General features: G+C 38.2%; 1 protein-coding gene across 26 annotated transcripts in view; it reads left to right on the top strand.

Moving 5' to 3' along the window:
- Nucleotides 1-17,767, top strand: part of NEK10 (NIMA related kinase 10) — a 262,900-nt gene that overhangs the window by 186,851 nt on the left and 58,282 nt on the right. For 25 of the 26 annotated variants that reach the window (XR_001740034.2, NM_001394969.1, XM_047447506.1 and 22 more), the window contains 3 exons: nucleotides 7,700-7,883; nucleotides 8,008-8,094; nucleotides 10,660-10,714. Coding sequence is in view for 25 of the 26 variants with exons in the window: in NM_001394969.1 (NP_001381898.1) it covers nucleotides 7,700-7,883; nucleotides 8,008-8,094; nucleotides 10,660-10,714 (326 nt within the window). In the remaining variant the exon portion in view is untranslated. Of the gene's footprint in view, nucleotides 1-7,699; nucleotides 7,884-8,007; nucleotides 8,095-10,659; nucleotides 10,715-11,057; nucleotides 16,087-17,767 lie in introns of those variants that run through there. The other variant, XM_047447509.1, reaches the window with a different exon arrangement.

The following is a 17,767-nucleotide window of genomic DNA, read 5'->3' as shown; positions in this document are numbered from 1 at the left end:
TACTATTCATTATAGTGGCTGTACTAATTTACATTCCCACCAACAGTCTGCAAGGGTTCCCCTTTCTTGCAGGTCTATTTCTGAACTCTATTCTGTTCCATGGATTATATGTCTCTTCTTAGACCAATACCACACCGTTTTGATTTTTGTAGCTTTTAAAAAATGTTTTAATTTTAATTGGCAAAAAATTATATATATTGTATACAACATGATGTTTTGAATATATATACATTGTGGAATGGCTTAACGGAGTTAATTAACATATGCATTACCACACATATGCTTTACCACATAACATATGCATTACCACACAGTATAATTTTTGTGGTGAGAACACTTAAAATCCAATCTCAGTATTTTTCAAGAATACAGTATATTGTTATTAAGTATAATCATCATGCTGTGCAATAGATCTCTTGAACTTATCCTCCCATCTCACCGAAACTCTGTATCTTTTGATATTGTAGCTTTTTAATAAGTCTCAAAACAAGCCCTGTAAGTCCTCCAACTTTGTTGTTCTTTGTCAAATTTGATTTGGGTGTTCTAGGTCTGTTGTATTTCCTTATTAATTTTAGAATAAGTTTGTCTAATTTCTTCAAAAAATCATACCTACAATTTTTATTTTTACCCCTTGTTTTAACATGGAGAATCTTGGCAACATTTTAAAAAATCAGTCTTTTATTTTACTTATTCAACAAAATTTAGTAAGCATTTATTCTTTCCTGGGACCTATTCTAGTATTCTCCTGATACAGTAGTGAACCAAACAGCCACAGACTCCCTCCTTCATAGTGAGAGAAGACAAATAATAGATAAATAAAACTATATTTAAGTGCTATGAACAAAAATAAAAGAAGGCAAGGTAATAGAAAGTGATTGTAGACACAGGGAGACAGGCTATTTTAAATAGGGATGTCAGTGAAGGGCTTTATAATTACATGACATTTGGGCAGAGACCTGAATACAGTTGACCTTTAAACAATGTGGGTTTGAACTGCATGAATCCACTTATACATGAATTTTCTTCTGCCTTTGCCACTCCTGAGGCAGCAAAACCAACCCCTCCTCTTCCTCTTCCTCGTCTTCAGCCTACCCAATGTGAAGATGACAAAGATGAAGACCTTTATGATGATCCACTTCCACTTAATGAATAGTAAATATAGTTTCTCTTCTTTGTGATTTTCTTAATAACAAGCTAGAGGAAAGAAAATGTTATTAAGAAAATCACAAGGAAGATAAACTATATTTACCATATGACATATCAAGTATGTATTAATTGTTTATGTTATTGGTAAGCTTCTAGTAAGCAGTAGGCTATTAGTAGATAAGTTTTTAGAAAGTTAAAAGTTATACATAGATTTTTGACTGCATGGAGTATTGGTGCCCCTCACTCCCATGTTGTTCAAGGGTCAACTGTACATTAAAGGGATAACCTCTGCAAATATCTGAAGGCACAACATTGGTAGCAGAAGGAGTAGCATGACCAAAGATCCTGAGGTAGGAGTGAGCCTGCCAAGCTCGGGGAACAGCAAGGAGGCCTGTGTGTCCAGCGTGCGGTGAAGCAGGGAGAGACAGTTGGACATGCAGGTGCCATAGTCCCTGGCATGCACTTGAGTAATATGAGTTCTGAGCAAGCCAAGGTGGCACCACTAGGCTTTAAAATGATATAGGTGGCCGCTGAGTAGGAATAAACCACTGAGAGCCAAGAATGAAATCAGGGAAATTGGTTAAGAAGAGATTGCAGTGGGCCAAGCAAAAGACAATGGTGACTCTTTTTCTTGACTTTTAATTCTTTCTCTACTGGCAATTAATCAGTTTGGAATTTTGACAACATGTGCAAAATGTGCAGTTTAACAAGAACTAGACCTTTCCTTATGTAACTCTGTGTTAAAAATGAAACAGTCAATGAGGTTCTAATTTGGTGTTTCATTCCTGTTGATAACCACTCATTTCTAATTCCATACTCTTTAATTCCTTAAGCATTGGTAAATTTCAATGACATTGTTTTTTTGAGAAACAAAAAATTTCTTAAAACTTGCCCACTTGATTGTTCTCTGTACATTGTTCCTTCCCTTCCCTTCCCTTCCCCTCCCTTCCCCTCCCCTCCCCTCCCCTTCCCTTCCCTTGTCTTTCTTTTTTGAGATACAGTCTCACTCTGTCACCCAGGATGGAGTGCAGTGGTGTGATCTTGGCTCACTGCAACCTCCACCTCCCATGTTCAAGTGATTCTCCTGCCTTCGCCTCCTCAATAGCTGAGATTATAGGCACGCACCACCATGCCTGTCTAATTTTTATATTTTTAGTAGAGATGGGGTTTCACTATTTGGCCAGGCTGGTCTCAAACTCCTGACCTCAAATGATCGGTCCACTTTTGGCCTCCCAAAGTGCTGGGATTAAAGGCATGAGCCACCATGCCTGGCCCATTGTTTCTTTCTTTTTTTCTTTTTTTTCTTGAGACAGAGTCTTGCTCTGTTGCCCAGGCTGGAGTGCAGTAGTATGATCTCAGCTCACTGCAACCTCCGCCTCCCAGGTTTAAGCAATTCTCGTGCTTCAGCCTTGCGAGTACCTGGGATTACAGGTGCCTGCCACCATGTCTGGCTAATTTTTGTATTTTTAGTAGAGACCAGGTTTCACCTTGTTGGCCAGACTGGTCTCAAACTCCTGACCTCAGGTGATCTGTCTGCCTCAGCCTCCTGAAGTGCTAGGATTACAGGTGTGAACCACCACGCCCAGCCCCCATTGTTTCTTTTAAATGTTAAATAGAATTACCTGATCCTGGCCTCATTTGAAATGCTTTTAAATATATTGGTATATACATTTAGTTCTATTGGCATGTTAGTCTGCTGTCTTGGAAAAACATGGTGGTCAGTATTGTTGTGATGGACCAGATCTTCTGTATTCTTAACAAATGATAATTTCAGATTATGACATTGTTTTCCTTCTCCTCTTTGTTAGTATTATTCCTTCTAGAAAACCTGTATTTGAGTTAAAAGTGATAGAAAATCCACTCATTTCTGATACAGTACTAGGTTAGTTATGGGATAACAGTGAAACATTTTTAACCATAATAAATTTGATACTGGAGTTTTAGATTGAATTGTAATGACCAATTTATTCCCTAATTTATTTAATTTAATCACAGCTCATTAATATGTAATAGTGCTTTTAAGACGTTCTAATTAAGATAGTATAATAATGAGATAATAACTATGTCATGACAGTAAAATTTTTAGCTTTGTGTAAATATTTAATAAGTTCAAAATAAATAAGATCCAACCTAAAGAGAATATTTTCTTTATTATATAATCCATATAAATTAGTTATTTTTAGGGCCCCAAAACACCAGTTTTTCTGGTTTAGATTTAACTATTGCTCTCTTAACTGTATGTAGAGAATGGGAGAAGGGAAATTCTTCAAGATTCCCTGATGAAAATAGACGATGTTACCATCCAAACCATTTTGGGAAAGCTGGACACAGTGGTGTGCCTCTGTATTTCCAGCTACTCAGAAGACCGAGGCAGGATGATCCCTTAAACCCGGAGGTTCAAGAACAGCCTGGGCAACATAGTGAGAACCTATTTCTAAAAAACAAACAAAAACTAACTTTCAGGATCAAAGATTAAAGATTTCCATCTACCACTGGGTAGGGGGTGGGACCAGGCTCCAGGCTTATTCCATCAGCCCACCTCTCTGATGTGGCAAAGCCAAGTCTTCCATAGGGAGGCCTGGAGAAAAGGTTCCTATCTCACCACTACAGTGAGCAGTTCACTCAGCTATGGTCTAGTCCACAAGGTTCCTTAATCATCTGACCACACTGGCTGATTTTTAAAAATATACCTTAAAATGTAGGGACTAAGTTTATTTACAATAGTATGCAGTCAATGGCCTGTCTCCTAGTTTGAATTTTCTTTGTGCAATCATCCATGAAAAGCATAGAATGCGGTGCCACTGATAAAAGATCACCTCAGCTGGATGAATTTCTAGCACCTGGTAGCACTAAATTGAGATATTTAAGGGTACAGTTTATTAACAAAACAGATGGAAGAAACTGGGTAAAAATATACCTAATAGAATATGAATATTTCAGAACACAAAGAAATAGTGCATTTTTTAGAGTTCTAAAGTAAAGCATCTATAGGATATAGCTGTTGTTATGCTTTATATTTATTTCTTGATTTTCTTTCTCTCCTAAAACTTTCTGGCAATTTTAAAAATTGCACTGATTTTAATAAAATAGATGCCCTTAATTTTCCTACTGTAGCAGTTAATTTGGGTAATGTCAGTCTGTTACTGTTAGAATTGCTATTCAACTGAAAATGTATTATGATCTGCTGCACACATAAAAATATTACATTATAATGCGCAAAACCGAGCTAAACATAATTGTGCCAATACTAGCGTGGTGACAGGAAGCATCTTCTATAATGGTGCTGATTTCCATATCAGTGATAATTTTATTGTGTGATTTGCGTTGTATTCTCCTTGCCGCCGTATTGATATCCGGAATGTGTCTATCCATTCCTAGGATAGATGCATGCAGATGCCAAAAAAACTAGTTAACTCCCTCTCCTACTCCTTGAAAAATCTTAGTAATTAGAAAGTGAAAAAGATTATAGCAGCCAAATTCTGTCTCCAAAAACTTTGCCTTTTTTCTTGCCTAAATCCCTTTAATAGGTTAATGTACTTGCTGGATGTGTCTTCTGAGGACAACTTAATGGCTCAACTATTTATTGAGCCTTTGCTATGTGTAAGGCATTGTGCAAAGCACTAAAGGATTTAAAATGGACTAAAGTGCCCCCAGTTCTTCAAGGAACAATTTTATAAAGAGTTGGATACTCAAATACTCACAGTGAAAAACTCCAGAAATCACAGTAGGGAAAATGTGTGGCATATGGTTTATGGCAAGGTCAAAAATTATATCAATTTTTTTTTGAAGCAAAAACTGCTGCAAGGGATTGTTATAGAAATATATATATATTTTTTTTTTTGAGACAAGAGTCTTGCTCTGTCACCCAGGCTGGAGTGCAGTGGCACAATCTCGGCTCACTGCAAGCTCCGCCTCCTGGGATCATGCCATTCTCCTCCTTCAGCCTCCCGAGTAGCTGGGACTACAGGCGCCCACCACCATGCCCGGCTAATTTTTTTGTATTTTTTAGTAGAGACAGGGTTTCACTGTGTTAGCCAGGATGATCTTGATCTCCTGACCTCGTGATCCACCTGCCTCAGCCTCCCAAAGTGCTGGAATTGCAGGAGTGAGCCACCATGCCTGGCCTAGAAATACAAATTTTAAACCCAAACTATCCATCTATATTATCATATTTTTATGCATACAGAGTCTGAAAAAGCATCTCTCTCAGATTGTAAATTCCCCTTTATCAGAATTTATGCAAACAGTCAATTACCCGTGGATGAAATTTTGGCAGTTACAAGTGACTATTGATTTATGACCCAATTGGTTCTTGGGTTTTGATTGCAAGTCCAGCGTCCTTAAGTCTCGAATTGCCTTTTTCAGCGGGGACTCCAGCTTCTCCTGACTCTTCATTTGTTCAAAGAAAAATGTTTTCCTCTGATGTTTTATCCATGCCTGTTCTTAAGAGACACAAAGCCTTTGTTAAAGTTTTACTAGTTTTAGGGATATTTGAATTCCAGCATCTTAATTGCATCGACAGAATAAAAAGTTTTCTCAATTCAAAAATTCTCCTTCATCTTTTTTCAACCTTGGTAATGTTGACACATCTTGGGTGTAAAGTCCTGAAAAGGTTGCAGATGCCAGCTGTGGTCTTCAGGATAGGGTAGAAGATGATTTACTTAGAATAAAAAAGGTCATAAGAAGGAAAAGGCCTTGAATTGGGTTTTTACTTCTGTGTAAATTTCTAATGACTTCAGTTGAGGATAGTTAGAGGAAGAAGGGTTTTGTGGTTTGGGACGAAGAAAAGAGGTAGGCATGGAAGAAGTTGAGTTGGTTTTGCAATAAAGTTTTGAGCCTTAGAAAGAGCTCCTGGATTTGGTATCAGGGGTTGAGTGTGGCAGAGCTGAGGCTGGACTTAGAAGCCCGATACTAGCCTTAGGCATTGGAAAAATTTCTGAGTAGCATATATCTTTTGCCAGAGAGCGGCCAAAGCATTTCCTGTCTCAGGTTGTAAGTTAGCCAACCAGGGTGGACCTCAGAAGCAGAAATTAACAACTCAGAGTCATAAAACAGCCTTTGAACATTGGATGTACTAATTATGGAAAATCAAAGTTAAAATACTTCTTCACCTGCAAATTAACTTCAACAAAACAAGGAGCTTGGTGAAACTTTGAAGAATCACTGAAAAGAATCTCAGGGAAAAGAAATAAACAGCAATTGATCAGACAGTTTGCAATGCACAAATGTTTTTTGTATTTTAAAAATCTTTTCATCTTACCTATAGAACATAAATATATGAAAGCTTTTAGAGGTTTATTTCTGATTCTAGTTATCCCTAAGATCTTAGGTTTTCTTCATCTGCAAATTCTATTATTATGGAGTTTTTAGAAACCTGTGCCTTGGAGCTGTGTCATTTTACTGTAGGAAAAAAATAAAAAACACATAAATCTGAAATAAATAAGGCTGTCTCTGAAATGAGCATCATTGGAGCCTTTTTAGTCAAGAAGTGCTAGGTAATTTGTGACTAAATCATCTTGGACACAATTCATAGAGGGAATTCTTTCCCCTTCAATAAATGCACCTTTTTCTTTCTTCTCACACTCTCTGCCTGTTATCCTTTCCTCCATCACAGCCTTTCTTTGTCTTTTTGTCTACCTGATCTGTAGCTTTACTTTGCCAGCACTGTTTAGCCCCACGGCCTAAAAAGGCTCTTCACGCTTGCTGCGAATAGTCCCATACAATGAACATCTTAGGAGTTGCTTGGGTAAAGAAACAAGTGGTACTTTTTTACTGATTCATAGTCATTCCTTCCGCACGGTCTTTCTCTTAGAAAAATGAAAACTTCCAGCATCAGTGGCATTAATTAATTAATTTTTATTGACCCTTGAGACATAATTTTTGCAGTTTCTAATACTATTATTTAGGGAAATATGGAATTACACAACCAGATTGATGACTTTGTAGTGCTATCATAATGGAAATGCATCCATCCGTTTTGGAGGATTCAGGAGGACCCTGTGGCTAGTTCTGCAGAGAGTGTTCAAGCCAGGCAGTAGTGTAGAGTCCCAAGTGGTTTGTAAGTTCTGTTCTCTGTAGCTCCTTTTTTTGGAAAACCTTGCCTCTCACTCTCCATGGCCTGGCTTTGTCTGCTACTAATTTTCCTGGAGTTTTGAAGAGAATAAGCCTTACTTATTTGCTGTGGTACTGAGAGGATTTGATAGCAAATGTTTTTGAAAAAACTTAAGGGAGAGAAATTTCTCCTAAATTAATATAGTCTATTTCTAGAAGTACATATTTCCCCCCGCTACTGGGTTATATGGGCCTTTTCTACTGAACACTCTTGCCACTTCCATCCTTTTTGATCCAATGTAGCTTATAGACCTGCATCTTTTTGTATTTATGGACTGAATAGATTCTGTAACAGGTGTATAGGTGGAACTACTGATGCGTCTTCTGCATCAAACATTTATATTGATATTTGAAGCAGTTAATATATGTTCTAACAAGATTTAGGTCCTATAGAAGGAAGGATAGAGAAAGAGGCTATGAAAAACTGAATTTCTCTTTCCAGGAGACCTTTGAGAAGGCAAGTTTGAGTAGCAGCAGCAGTGGAGCAGCCAGCCTGAAAAGTGAACTTTCAGAAAGCGCAGACCTGCCCCCTGAAGGCTTCCAGGCCTCCTATGGTAAAGACGAAGACAGGGCCTGTGACGAAATCCTGTCAGATGATAACTTCAACCTGGAAAATGCTGAGAAAGGTACTGCTAGTGGCAGTGTGTCAACGTAGGTACTGCTAGTGGCAGTGTGTCAACATGAATGTATTCTGGACTCCTTCCTGTTTCAAGACTCATTTGCTTTTTTATTGTTTTTATTAATGTGCAGATACATATTCAGAGGTAGATGATGAATTGGACATTTCGGATAACTCCAGCAGCTCCAGTTCAAGCCCTCTGAAAGAATCTACATTCAGTAAGCTTTCTGTTATCAATTTGCTGTTTGTGGGATTCCGGAAGACAGTGGTTTGGAAATCATACTTGAGTCAAGCAAATATCACCATATACATAACCCAGTGGTTTGTTTTTCAGGTGCAGTGCTAATTAGGACAGATGTGTCTGTCTCTCTGACAGAGCCCAAAGGTTAGCCAGCACAGTGGTTTTATATTTTCTCAGCTGTCAAATGAATAGTTTTACTATTTCTACCAGCAATTGCAGGTTCTAACTAGAGAGTCAAGATATCTAACTTGGAGACAGCCAAATAACCACAGGAGTAATGGACATGACCTTTTATGAGCCTGTTGGTTAGATGAATTCAAAGCCTGTAGAAGAAATTGGTCCTGGTATAGACTAATTTTTGTGCAATTTTATTTATATAAATCTAAAGGGATGTGTTACATTTAAAACAATAAAATAAAAGAAATTTTTTTAGAGTTATTAAAAATATGACATATAAATTCCGTCCATAATGTTAATCTTGACTCTTAATTTAAAACAGTAAAGAAAATAGTCATACTGGGATATGGGAAAGAAAAGGAAAAGGTATATTTAGATAAAGTTTAAAGATTATAAAGAGAGATAGAATAAAATACATGGAACAAACCTGAAACTTAAAGAGAAGTTAAAATAGAAAATGAAGGGAAACAATTTTTTTAAAAAAGAGTAAGTTGATAAAATATTAAAAACCATAGATAGAAATATTCTGAAATAAATTAAGTGAAAATAATTCTCTCTCCTCAGTGACTATACTATGAAAATCTCATAAAAGAACATTTAAAATAGCTTCTCTAAGGATCAAAGTAGAACCCTAAGGATTTAGCTACATTCTTTGTCCTTTCCAAACTTAATTGGTCCATCGAAATGATGATTAGATGTTCCATATTTTCTGGGACAACCCCAGTTTTCAATATTCTGTCCTATTTTCTCCGTAGATCCCTGCCTTCTAGGTGTATTAATTTGTGATTGGGAAAACATGAAGCTCATATGGGAAAAAATATTTATGCATATAAACATGTATAACAAATTCCAGAAGAAGTTTATTACTGACTGTTTTGAGATAAGTTCAGTGTTCTATATACCTGGCAGCAATGGTGGGAGGGTTAGTGGGGAGGTAGGAAAGAGATGCTTGACCCTTAAATTTGCATATGGTAACTTGGCAAGGATGGTTATGACATTTTATTGCATGACATTTTATTGTGTTTTGTTAGATATTAATAACAGGGTTGTTTTTGTTTGTTTAGCACATTTGCTTTAGAGAAAAAGCCCTTAAACAAACCTGACAAATAAATAACAATTTGTAACATATTTTAGTTCATGCTTTCATAATCAAAGACAATTTTTACAGTATGTACAATTGCTCAGGTAACCGAAATTCAGTATTGTTTTTTGTTGTTGTTATTGTGGTTTACCATGAATAAAGCCATGTTTGTTTCTTGAATGTTGTTTGACTGCTTTCATGCTACAATGGCAGCAGAATTCAGCTGTGACAGACATAGTATGGCTTGCAAAGCCTAGAATATTTCCTACCTACCATTTACAGAGATAAGTTTGACTTTAGAACAATATGAGAGTGTTTATAGACAAAGCCATTCATGGAATATATATATTCTTTATTATTTTGAATTTTATAAAAAACTTATTTAAAATTTTTTCTGATATATAATATATTTGTACCTATTTATGGATACTTGTGATATTTTGATATATGCATAGAATGTGTAGTCATTAAATTATACATTGTATGGGTAATTCAGATATTGATCACCTCAAACATTTATCATTTATTTGTGTTGGAAACATTTCAAATCTCCCCTTCTAGCTATTTTTAAATATTTAAACATTTTCTTTATCCATTCATCTGCTGAGGGATACTTAGTCTGATTTCATATCCTGGTGGTTGTGAGTAGTGCTGCAATAAACACGAGAGTAGAGATATCTTTTTGATATACTAACTTCCCTTCTTTTGGATATATACCAGTAGTGGGATTGCTGGATCATATAGAAGTTCTATTTTTAGTTTTTTGAAGAGAAACTTTATTTATTTATGTATTTTAAGTTTTTTTTTTTTTTTTTTTTTTTTTTGAGACGGGGTCTCGCTCTGTCACCAGGCTGGAGTGCAGTGGCACGATCTTAGCTCACTGCAACCTCCGCCTCCTGGGTTCAAGCGATTCTCCTGCCTTAGCCTCCCGAGTAGCTGGGACTACAGGCATGCTCCACCACACCCAGCTAATTTTTGTACTTTTTAGTAGGGACGGGGTTTCATGTTGGCCAGGAAGGTCTCGCTCTCTTGACCTCATGATTCATCTACCTCGGCCTCACAAAGTGCTGGGATTACAGGTGTGAGCCACCACACCCGGCCGAGAACCTTTATACTGTTTTCCATAATGGCTACACTAATTTACAGTCCCACCAACAGTGTATGAGTTCCCTTTTCTCTGCATCTTCACCAGTATTTGTTGTTCAGTATTGTTTTATTAAAACATAAAAAATAAAAGATTTGCAGAGGAAATAATGTAAAGTTATTTCTATTTTCTCGTCTCAGACATTTTAAAGAGAAGTTTTAGTGCTTCAGGAGGAGAAAGACAATCCCAAACAAGGTAGGTGCAAATTGAACTCCTAGAAATATTTTTTGATTTTGCAGAGCTGAGTAATAACTCAGCTGAATTGAAACCTGATAGCCAGAAGTTTCCATGTGCCTGCGGAAATAGGAGTTAGAGCTTACTTGCCCAGAACTGTTTATAGTTCACCAAGTAGCATACTGAAACAGGTACTGATCTTGGACCTGGGTCTTAGTCTAGCTCTGCCTTTTTCTAGCTTTGTGACCTTGAGCAAATCAGTTAGCCTCTCTGAGCTCAAGGGTGGGCCGGCGGGGTAGGGCAGCTGTGCTCCATGAGGTCATCTGGAGCCCTGGTCTTATATCTTGTTCTTCCATATCCCCAGGGTATAGGTTTCATCTTTTTGACCAATATGACTTATGAGACCGCATCCTACCTCCAAGCCAGCAAGAAGAAGAAAGGGGAAGTAGAGACACCCCTCTTCCTTTTAAGGATATGACCGAGATGTTATGCTCATCACTTCTGTTCACATACCATTGGCCAGAACTTCCTCATATGACCACAGCTAGTTGCAAGGGATGGTGAAATATGTTTGAGAGACTGTCTTTTAAAGGCAAAGCAAAATTGTTATTTTGGGACAGCTAGCTGTGTCAGTGACAGTTGTTTCTTAGAGTAGGGACTGAAACAAAACTATTAGATTGAGCCTTCTGCAAGTTCTCCTGACCTTCACTGGCACTGGGTGAGATTAGAGGGAGCAGAACCTTGATTACAATGTTCCAGAGGCAGAGATAGGAGGCATTTAAGAAGTTGAGAAATGAGCTGGGAGAATGAGCTGGTGGGGAATGTTTGATGGAAAAGGACCTCCTAGAATCAGGATGAACTCAGGGCATTTGGGACAGAGGAAGGAGAAGAGACCAATGGAGAGGAGAAATGAGAGAGGAAAAGAGATAACTGACAGTATACAGTTGCATCATAGACCAGAGCCAGAGGAGTGGGCCTGGAAAAGATGAGTGGCAACGCCTTCTTTGTGTCTGGAGAAAGGGAGGTGAAGATAAAATTAAGCTAGTGAAATAGGGAAAGGCAGATTAAGGAAGAAATATACTTTATGGTTTCTGTATATTATTATTATTATTGTTGAGATAGAATCTTGCTCTGTCACCCAGGCTGGAGTGCAGTGGCGTGATCACTGCAACCTCTGCCTTCCAGGTTCAAGTGATTCTCCTGCCTCCGCCTCCCGAGTAGCTGAGATTACAGGCACCTGCCACCATACCTGGCTAATTTTTGTATTTTTAGGAGAGGTTGGGTTTCACCATGTTGGCCAGGCTGGTATCGAACTCCTGACCTCTGGAGATCCACCCACCTTAGCCTCCCAAAGTGCTGGGATTACAGGCATTCGCCACTGTGCCCAGCCAGTTTCTATGTATTAGTTGATATTCTAGGCCAATATTCTAGACAGCTGAGAGGACTGTCTAGATTTGTGGAGTATATTCAGCTAGGAGCAGCCAATGTTGAGATGAGAACTGGGCAGAGAATGGTGGAAGGACTGCCAGACTGCTCTGAGGCTGGGGCACCTGTTGAGGTTGGGCCACATATAAGTGGTGATGCCAGGCAGGGCTCTTCAGAGCTGTGGGATGACCCCCACTCAGGAGGTGGCAGCATCTGTGTAACAAAAGGCTAAGGCTGCGATGTGCTATAGCAGGCAGGGCTTTTTGGATACAAGCAAAGGAGCCTGACTTTAGCTAACTTATGTGACAGGGGGTTCTTTAGACGTCATTGTGGGGCTTGTGTAATTTAGACTCTGGAGGATCAAGCTTGGGAAGGCATAGGAGCCAGTTCAGTCCCTGAAGTCTATAAAGGAGACATTTTTGGGAGGCTTATAAGGGCACAGGAACTCTGGGATAAATGAACTCCCAGCTTGTTTATTCCATTCTCATGTCACCTTTCTTAGGATTCAAAATCCTGAGAGAGAGAGAGCCAGATTGGCCTGGCTGGGATCAGGTTCCTGTTTACTGCCTTGAGGAGAGCTGAGATCCTTGACTAGTCCATCAGGGGTGCTTGCTGAAGGGAGCAGGTGTTAGTGCTGGGCAGCCTCAATGGAACCACCTGGATCTACCTCTGGGTTTGAGGGTGCTGGGAATCACATAACATAAATGAAGTTCAGAAGAACCTGCTCAGCAAATTCCTGGGGGATTCAGTTAGGTGACAAACGAAGGTTTCTATAGACAAATCCTTTTCTTGTTTAGTCAAAGATGCATCACTGATACATTTATCTTCAAATGAAGATCAGGAGGAGTTAGGGTGGAGCCTTTTAATTTCCTAACTTTTTTTCCAGTGTTTCTGGGAATAAAAACCCAAGGAAAACTTATCAACAGGGTGTATGATCTATCAGAAAGATATTCGATAAAACCCTGTAAGACCTCATGACGTTCTTTAGTGGGCCAAAGTGCAGAGGAGTCATGGTCAGAAGTAATGGGGAGGGCAGGGGAAAGAAAAGTACTCCAAAATGCCAAAGAGAACCACAGTGGGTGTTTGTGGGGACTGGAGATCTGAGTTAGAAGATATTCCAAAGGATCTTTAGGGCTTGCTAGTACCCAACATTCCTCATTCCTCACTTACTGACTTTCTATTGCTAACAAAGCAAGTATTTTAGTTCAAAAGTAAATTATGATATATGATGTACTCCCAATTAAGTGAGTTTTATGTTAAAATGACAATTTCCAATCAGATGAATGTAGGTATCTTGGCCCTGTCAAAAATAATTCTACTATTTTTTTAAAGGATCCATGGAAAATTGTCTTATTTGCACAAATCCGGTTGATGTCCACCCCTTCAAAACCAAACAAAAACCCCATATGGTCTATATCTTTTAGAGCTTGAGATGGCTTTTAAAAAGCTAGTCATTAACTAAATACTTTATAACAAATTGGATAAGCTAGAATCAGCAGAAAGGCAAGGTTTAATCTGAAGATCATTGAAACAGGGGTATAGAACAAGCTTTAACTTGGGGTTATGACCAAGTCAACAGATGGATATGGAAAGTGGCCCATACATTGAAGTTGATGTTTTGGAAAGTATGTTCCAAGGTGAACAGGACCTGACCTAAAGCAACATTTGTAAAATTGTGCCATGAAATGTGGTAATACAGCGTGACATGCCACCAGGGAACACAGGTTTGTTTAAGACAAGCTGTCTTCCTTCAGGGAGCTCACAGCAAAATGGGAAGACAAGGGCCGACTTCAGAAGAAAATAAATGATAAAAGACAGCCTTTGATTTATGCCAAATAAGAGGAGAGAAAATTAATAACTTTTGACTCCCTCCCAGGTAATCCCTGGGGCTTCTCTGAATTAAAAGGAGACAATCCCAAAATGTATTTATAATTCTTTAAAGAACGTTAAATAGAGCTAAAGTTATTTGCAGTCTAATTTGTTTAGGATTTTCCTGGGTTTCTTTGTTTATTAATGTGAAATGTGAACCCATCCTGCAAAATATTTAGAAGCTAAATAAGAAGTTTGAATATAAAAGAAGATAGCAAAGCTACATAATAGAATAAAAATAAATTGAAAATCAAGCCTGTAGAGGGTTTTCTTTTTCTTTTTTTTTTTTCCTATTCTGTGCCATGTATAAAATGGTATAACAATTTCAAGGAGACCCTAGGCAGCTCTCCCACTTGGGGACCCTTACTGACTCTTTAAAAAGGCCCAATGAGAGAAGTCACAGGGAAGTACATACCTGTTCTGACCACAGCCTCCAAAATATAGAAGTCAGACGTGGCCCTGGCTAAATATTAATAGTACCAAGAGAAAGCTTAAGCATAAACTCATAACTTTGGTCAGATATCAGATATCAGGAGCCAGATTTAAACCAATTGCTTGCGGAAAAACTAACGTAACTCCCTAATAACTTAGGATATGCTTTTGGGCAAATGAGCCAGACAAATGGATACAACATGAGCAAATGGAACTAGGAGGGATAGCCCCTGCCTGCTCAGAAAAGTTTTGAAGTCTCAAGGCTGGAGAATAATATTAGAACTGGAAGGCACCTCGGAATCCAAGCCATCATCAGTTGATAAAACTTTTTTTAAGGAATATAGTTAATGGCAAGATCAAGAGAGGAATAAGCCCCAATTTCTTTGAAATTTCCAACTTTAATCATTTTCAAACTTGATATGAAATCTTTTATATCTATTACTATTTGCTAGGAAGGCATTAAGAATGGGCTTGACTTTTACCAGTTTTTATGCGAGTTTCATAGGCTGACCTAGTATATACACATTGAGGATTCTAATCCAGCAAGTCATAGCATGTTATTTCAACTTATAAATAAAATACTCTGTATAGTGGAACTTGATAATGCTCACTGGGGCTTCAGCCTCTTTGTCACATATTCTCAGGTCCTAGTAAAATTTAGTCATTGTTTTACGACCATCTTAAGAACCTTCATTCATTTGTTTAATTGATGGATATTTATTACTGTGTGCCAGGCCTGCGCCAAACTATGCCTAATTCATCTTTGCATTCTCCAGGGCACAGTGTATTGCACATAGGTACCAACCTACAGATACTTGTTAATTAATAGATGAATGACTGTGACTGTTATCTCAGTGTAAATTCTTTATCTCATTACCAAGGACTGAAATCTTGCCTACTGACAGCCTTTGCCATAGCCACAGCTTAAGGCACATTTTTTTTTTTTTAAAGGATCCTGTTGCTCCGGCAACCAGATTTCTCCACGTCTGCTTGCCTTCTGTCACCAAGGCAACAGGGTATAGTTGGCAGGCTGGTTTGAGACACTGGATGTTTGTGGTATCAGAGATGCCTGTGGTTCACAACTTTTTTGATTCATCAGTGTATGCATAATTGTATTTGGCAGTGTGCTCCTAAGTCTAAATCTTTTTTTTTTTGAGACAGAATTTTGCTCTTTCACCCAGGCTGGAGTGCAGTGGTGCCATCTCAGCTCACTGCAACCTCGGCCTGCTGGGTTCCAGCGGTTCTCCTGCCCCAGCCTCCCTAGTAGCTGGGATTATAGGCTCCTGCCACCACACCCAGCTAATTTTTGTATTTTTAGTAGAGATGGGGTTTCACCATGTTGACCAGGCTGGTCTCGAACTCTTGACTTCAGGTGATCCACCCCCCTGGGCCTCCCAAAGTGGTAGGATTGCAGGCATAAGCCACCGTGCCAGGCCTTTCTAAGTCTTTATATGTGAAGATGATTGTGGATGTTTGTGACAATTCAGCTTCATATTTGTGACTGGAAAGACCTCGTGTATTTTCAGGACCTGTGGATCTTGCCTCTTAAAAGCGGAAGTCTTGCTTATTTTTACTTATAGCTCTTCTCCCTCCATCTTTTTCATAATCTGTATCTGGTTTTACTTTGGTTGAATAAATACTGCATGATTACTCCTTGCTAGAATCAACCTGGCCCATCTGCTAATGTCTCACTCCAACAGCCTTAAAACAAACAAACAAACAAACAAACAAAAAAACACATAGTAAGACCACTTTGTTTCTTTTCTGTAATAGTTCTATACTTTCCTGGTTTATTGCTCATTTGTTTCTAGCTGTTATTGGAGTAGGAGGGGATAGCCACAGGAGCATTATACTACTTTGTTGTCATGATACCAACTCTATTAACATTATAGATAAATAGGAGAGCTCAAAGCTACATAATGTTGCTTATTCACACAGGACATATTTATGAATGTCACTGCCTGAAAGAGAGCTTCAGCTATAAAATGCTCATTAGCTCACATGGTGTGGCTGCAGTAGTTTCGGAAGGCATTACCTTACTATTGTAAGCCAAACCTCTCATTTCATAAGGTTTAATTATTTTTATCAATATCAAATAGCATTGATACTTTTCACAATTGAATTAAATGATGGAATACACTTATAATGTATTTGAAAATGTTTTCTTTGTTCAGATACATATTTCAAGGAATTCTTATGAGAGATGATATTCTAGGGCTTCATCTTCTTCTTGGCCAGGACTCTGCTGGCAAAATTATTATCCAAATAATTCACCGTGCTCTTGACTTAATTCAGCGAAAAGTCTATTTAAAAAATTACGATGCTAATTCCTAGATTATTCACTTTATCTGTTAGTGTTTTGGGGTGGAAATTGTAGGCTAACACTCATTTTCAGCACTTCAGTTTCTCTTTTGCCTTATTAATTCCAGATGAGGTCACACTAGGTCTGAAGAGAGCTGGAAGGGATGGCCTTTTAGAATTCTTTCAGCCTTCTATTTTTCTGAAATTCTTCCATTGGCCTGAAGTGCTGTTGGTCAATGCCCATTTCAAAATTTTCAGAGAACACAAACAGTAATATGTTAAGCCTCTTCACCAGAAACTATTTCTGGAATGTTCTCTGTGTGAAACCACTTTGGTATATTTTCCAGCTTGTGATACGATGGGAACACCACCCTCTGTAGCCGTAATGCTCTATTGGGCATAAACATTCAATGTGGTTCAATCTAGAGGCAGACTTCCCCCAGGCTCTGCATAATTTCAACCATTTGTCCATCTGTGAACCCAACAATTGCATAGTTAAAAGCTGTCACTTCTGGTGACAATGAGTCTGTTCTATTTTGAAATTTCAGATGACTATATTTTCTTGCGGTTAGTGATATAATTTCCAGAGAAATTGACATTTTATTTTCTGCTATCTCTATGCAATCTTGTAAATTCTAAGACTGTGGAAACTATTTATTTTCACCATCCCATCTCCAGTGTCTAGCATGGTGGCTACACATCGTGGGCATTTAATAAATATTTCTTGAATGAATGAATGAATGTGTAATTGTTCTTTTTGAAGATTCCCTAAAGTTTATTAAAGAGGAATTTAAAATTATATAAAGGAATAGCAAAAGCGGCAGCAACTCAGCATTGTCAGGGTGTTCTATGTCACATATCCCACTAGCACACATTATGCATAACATTTGTTAATATGTAAAAATGTTTGAAACGTTAGATTCTTCAGGACATCTGGAATAGTCATCTTGCAAACTCATCATGTGAGTGATTATCAGCTTTTCAAGAACATGTATAACCTGATGGATACAAGTTTGCCACAAGTTGCATTTTTATTCACTTTTTAAG

This window comes from Homo sapiens, chromosome 3 (assembly GCF_000001405.40).
Source record: "Homo sapiens chromosome 3, GRCh38.p14 Primary Assembly".
NCBI lineage: Eukaryota > Metazoa > Chordata > Mammalia > Primates > Hominidae > Homo > Homo sapiens.
The sequence above is the reverse complement of the archived record's forward strand: the minus strand, read 5'-3'. Positions and strand labels throughout refer to the sequence as shown.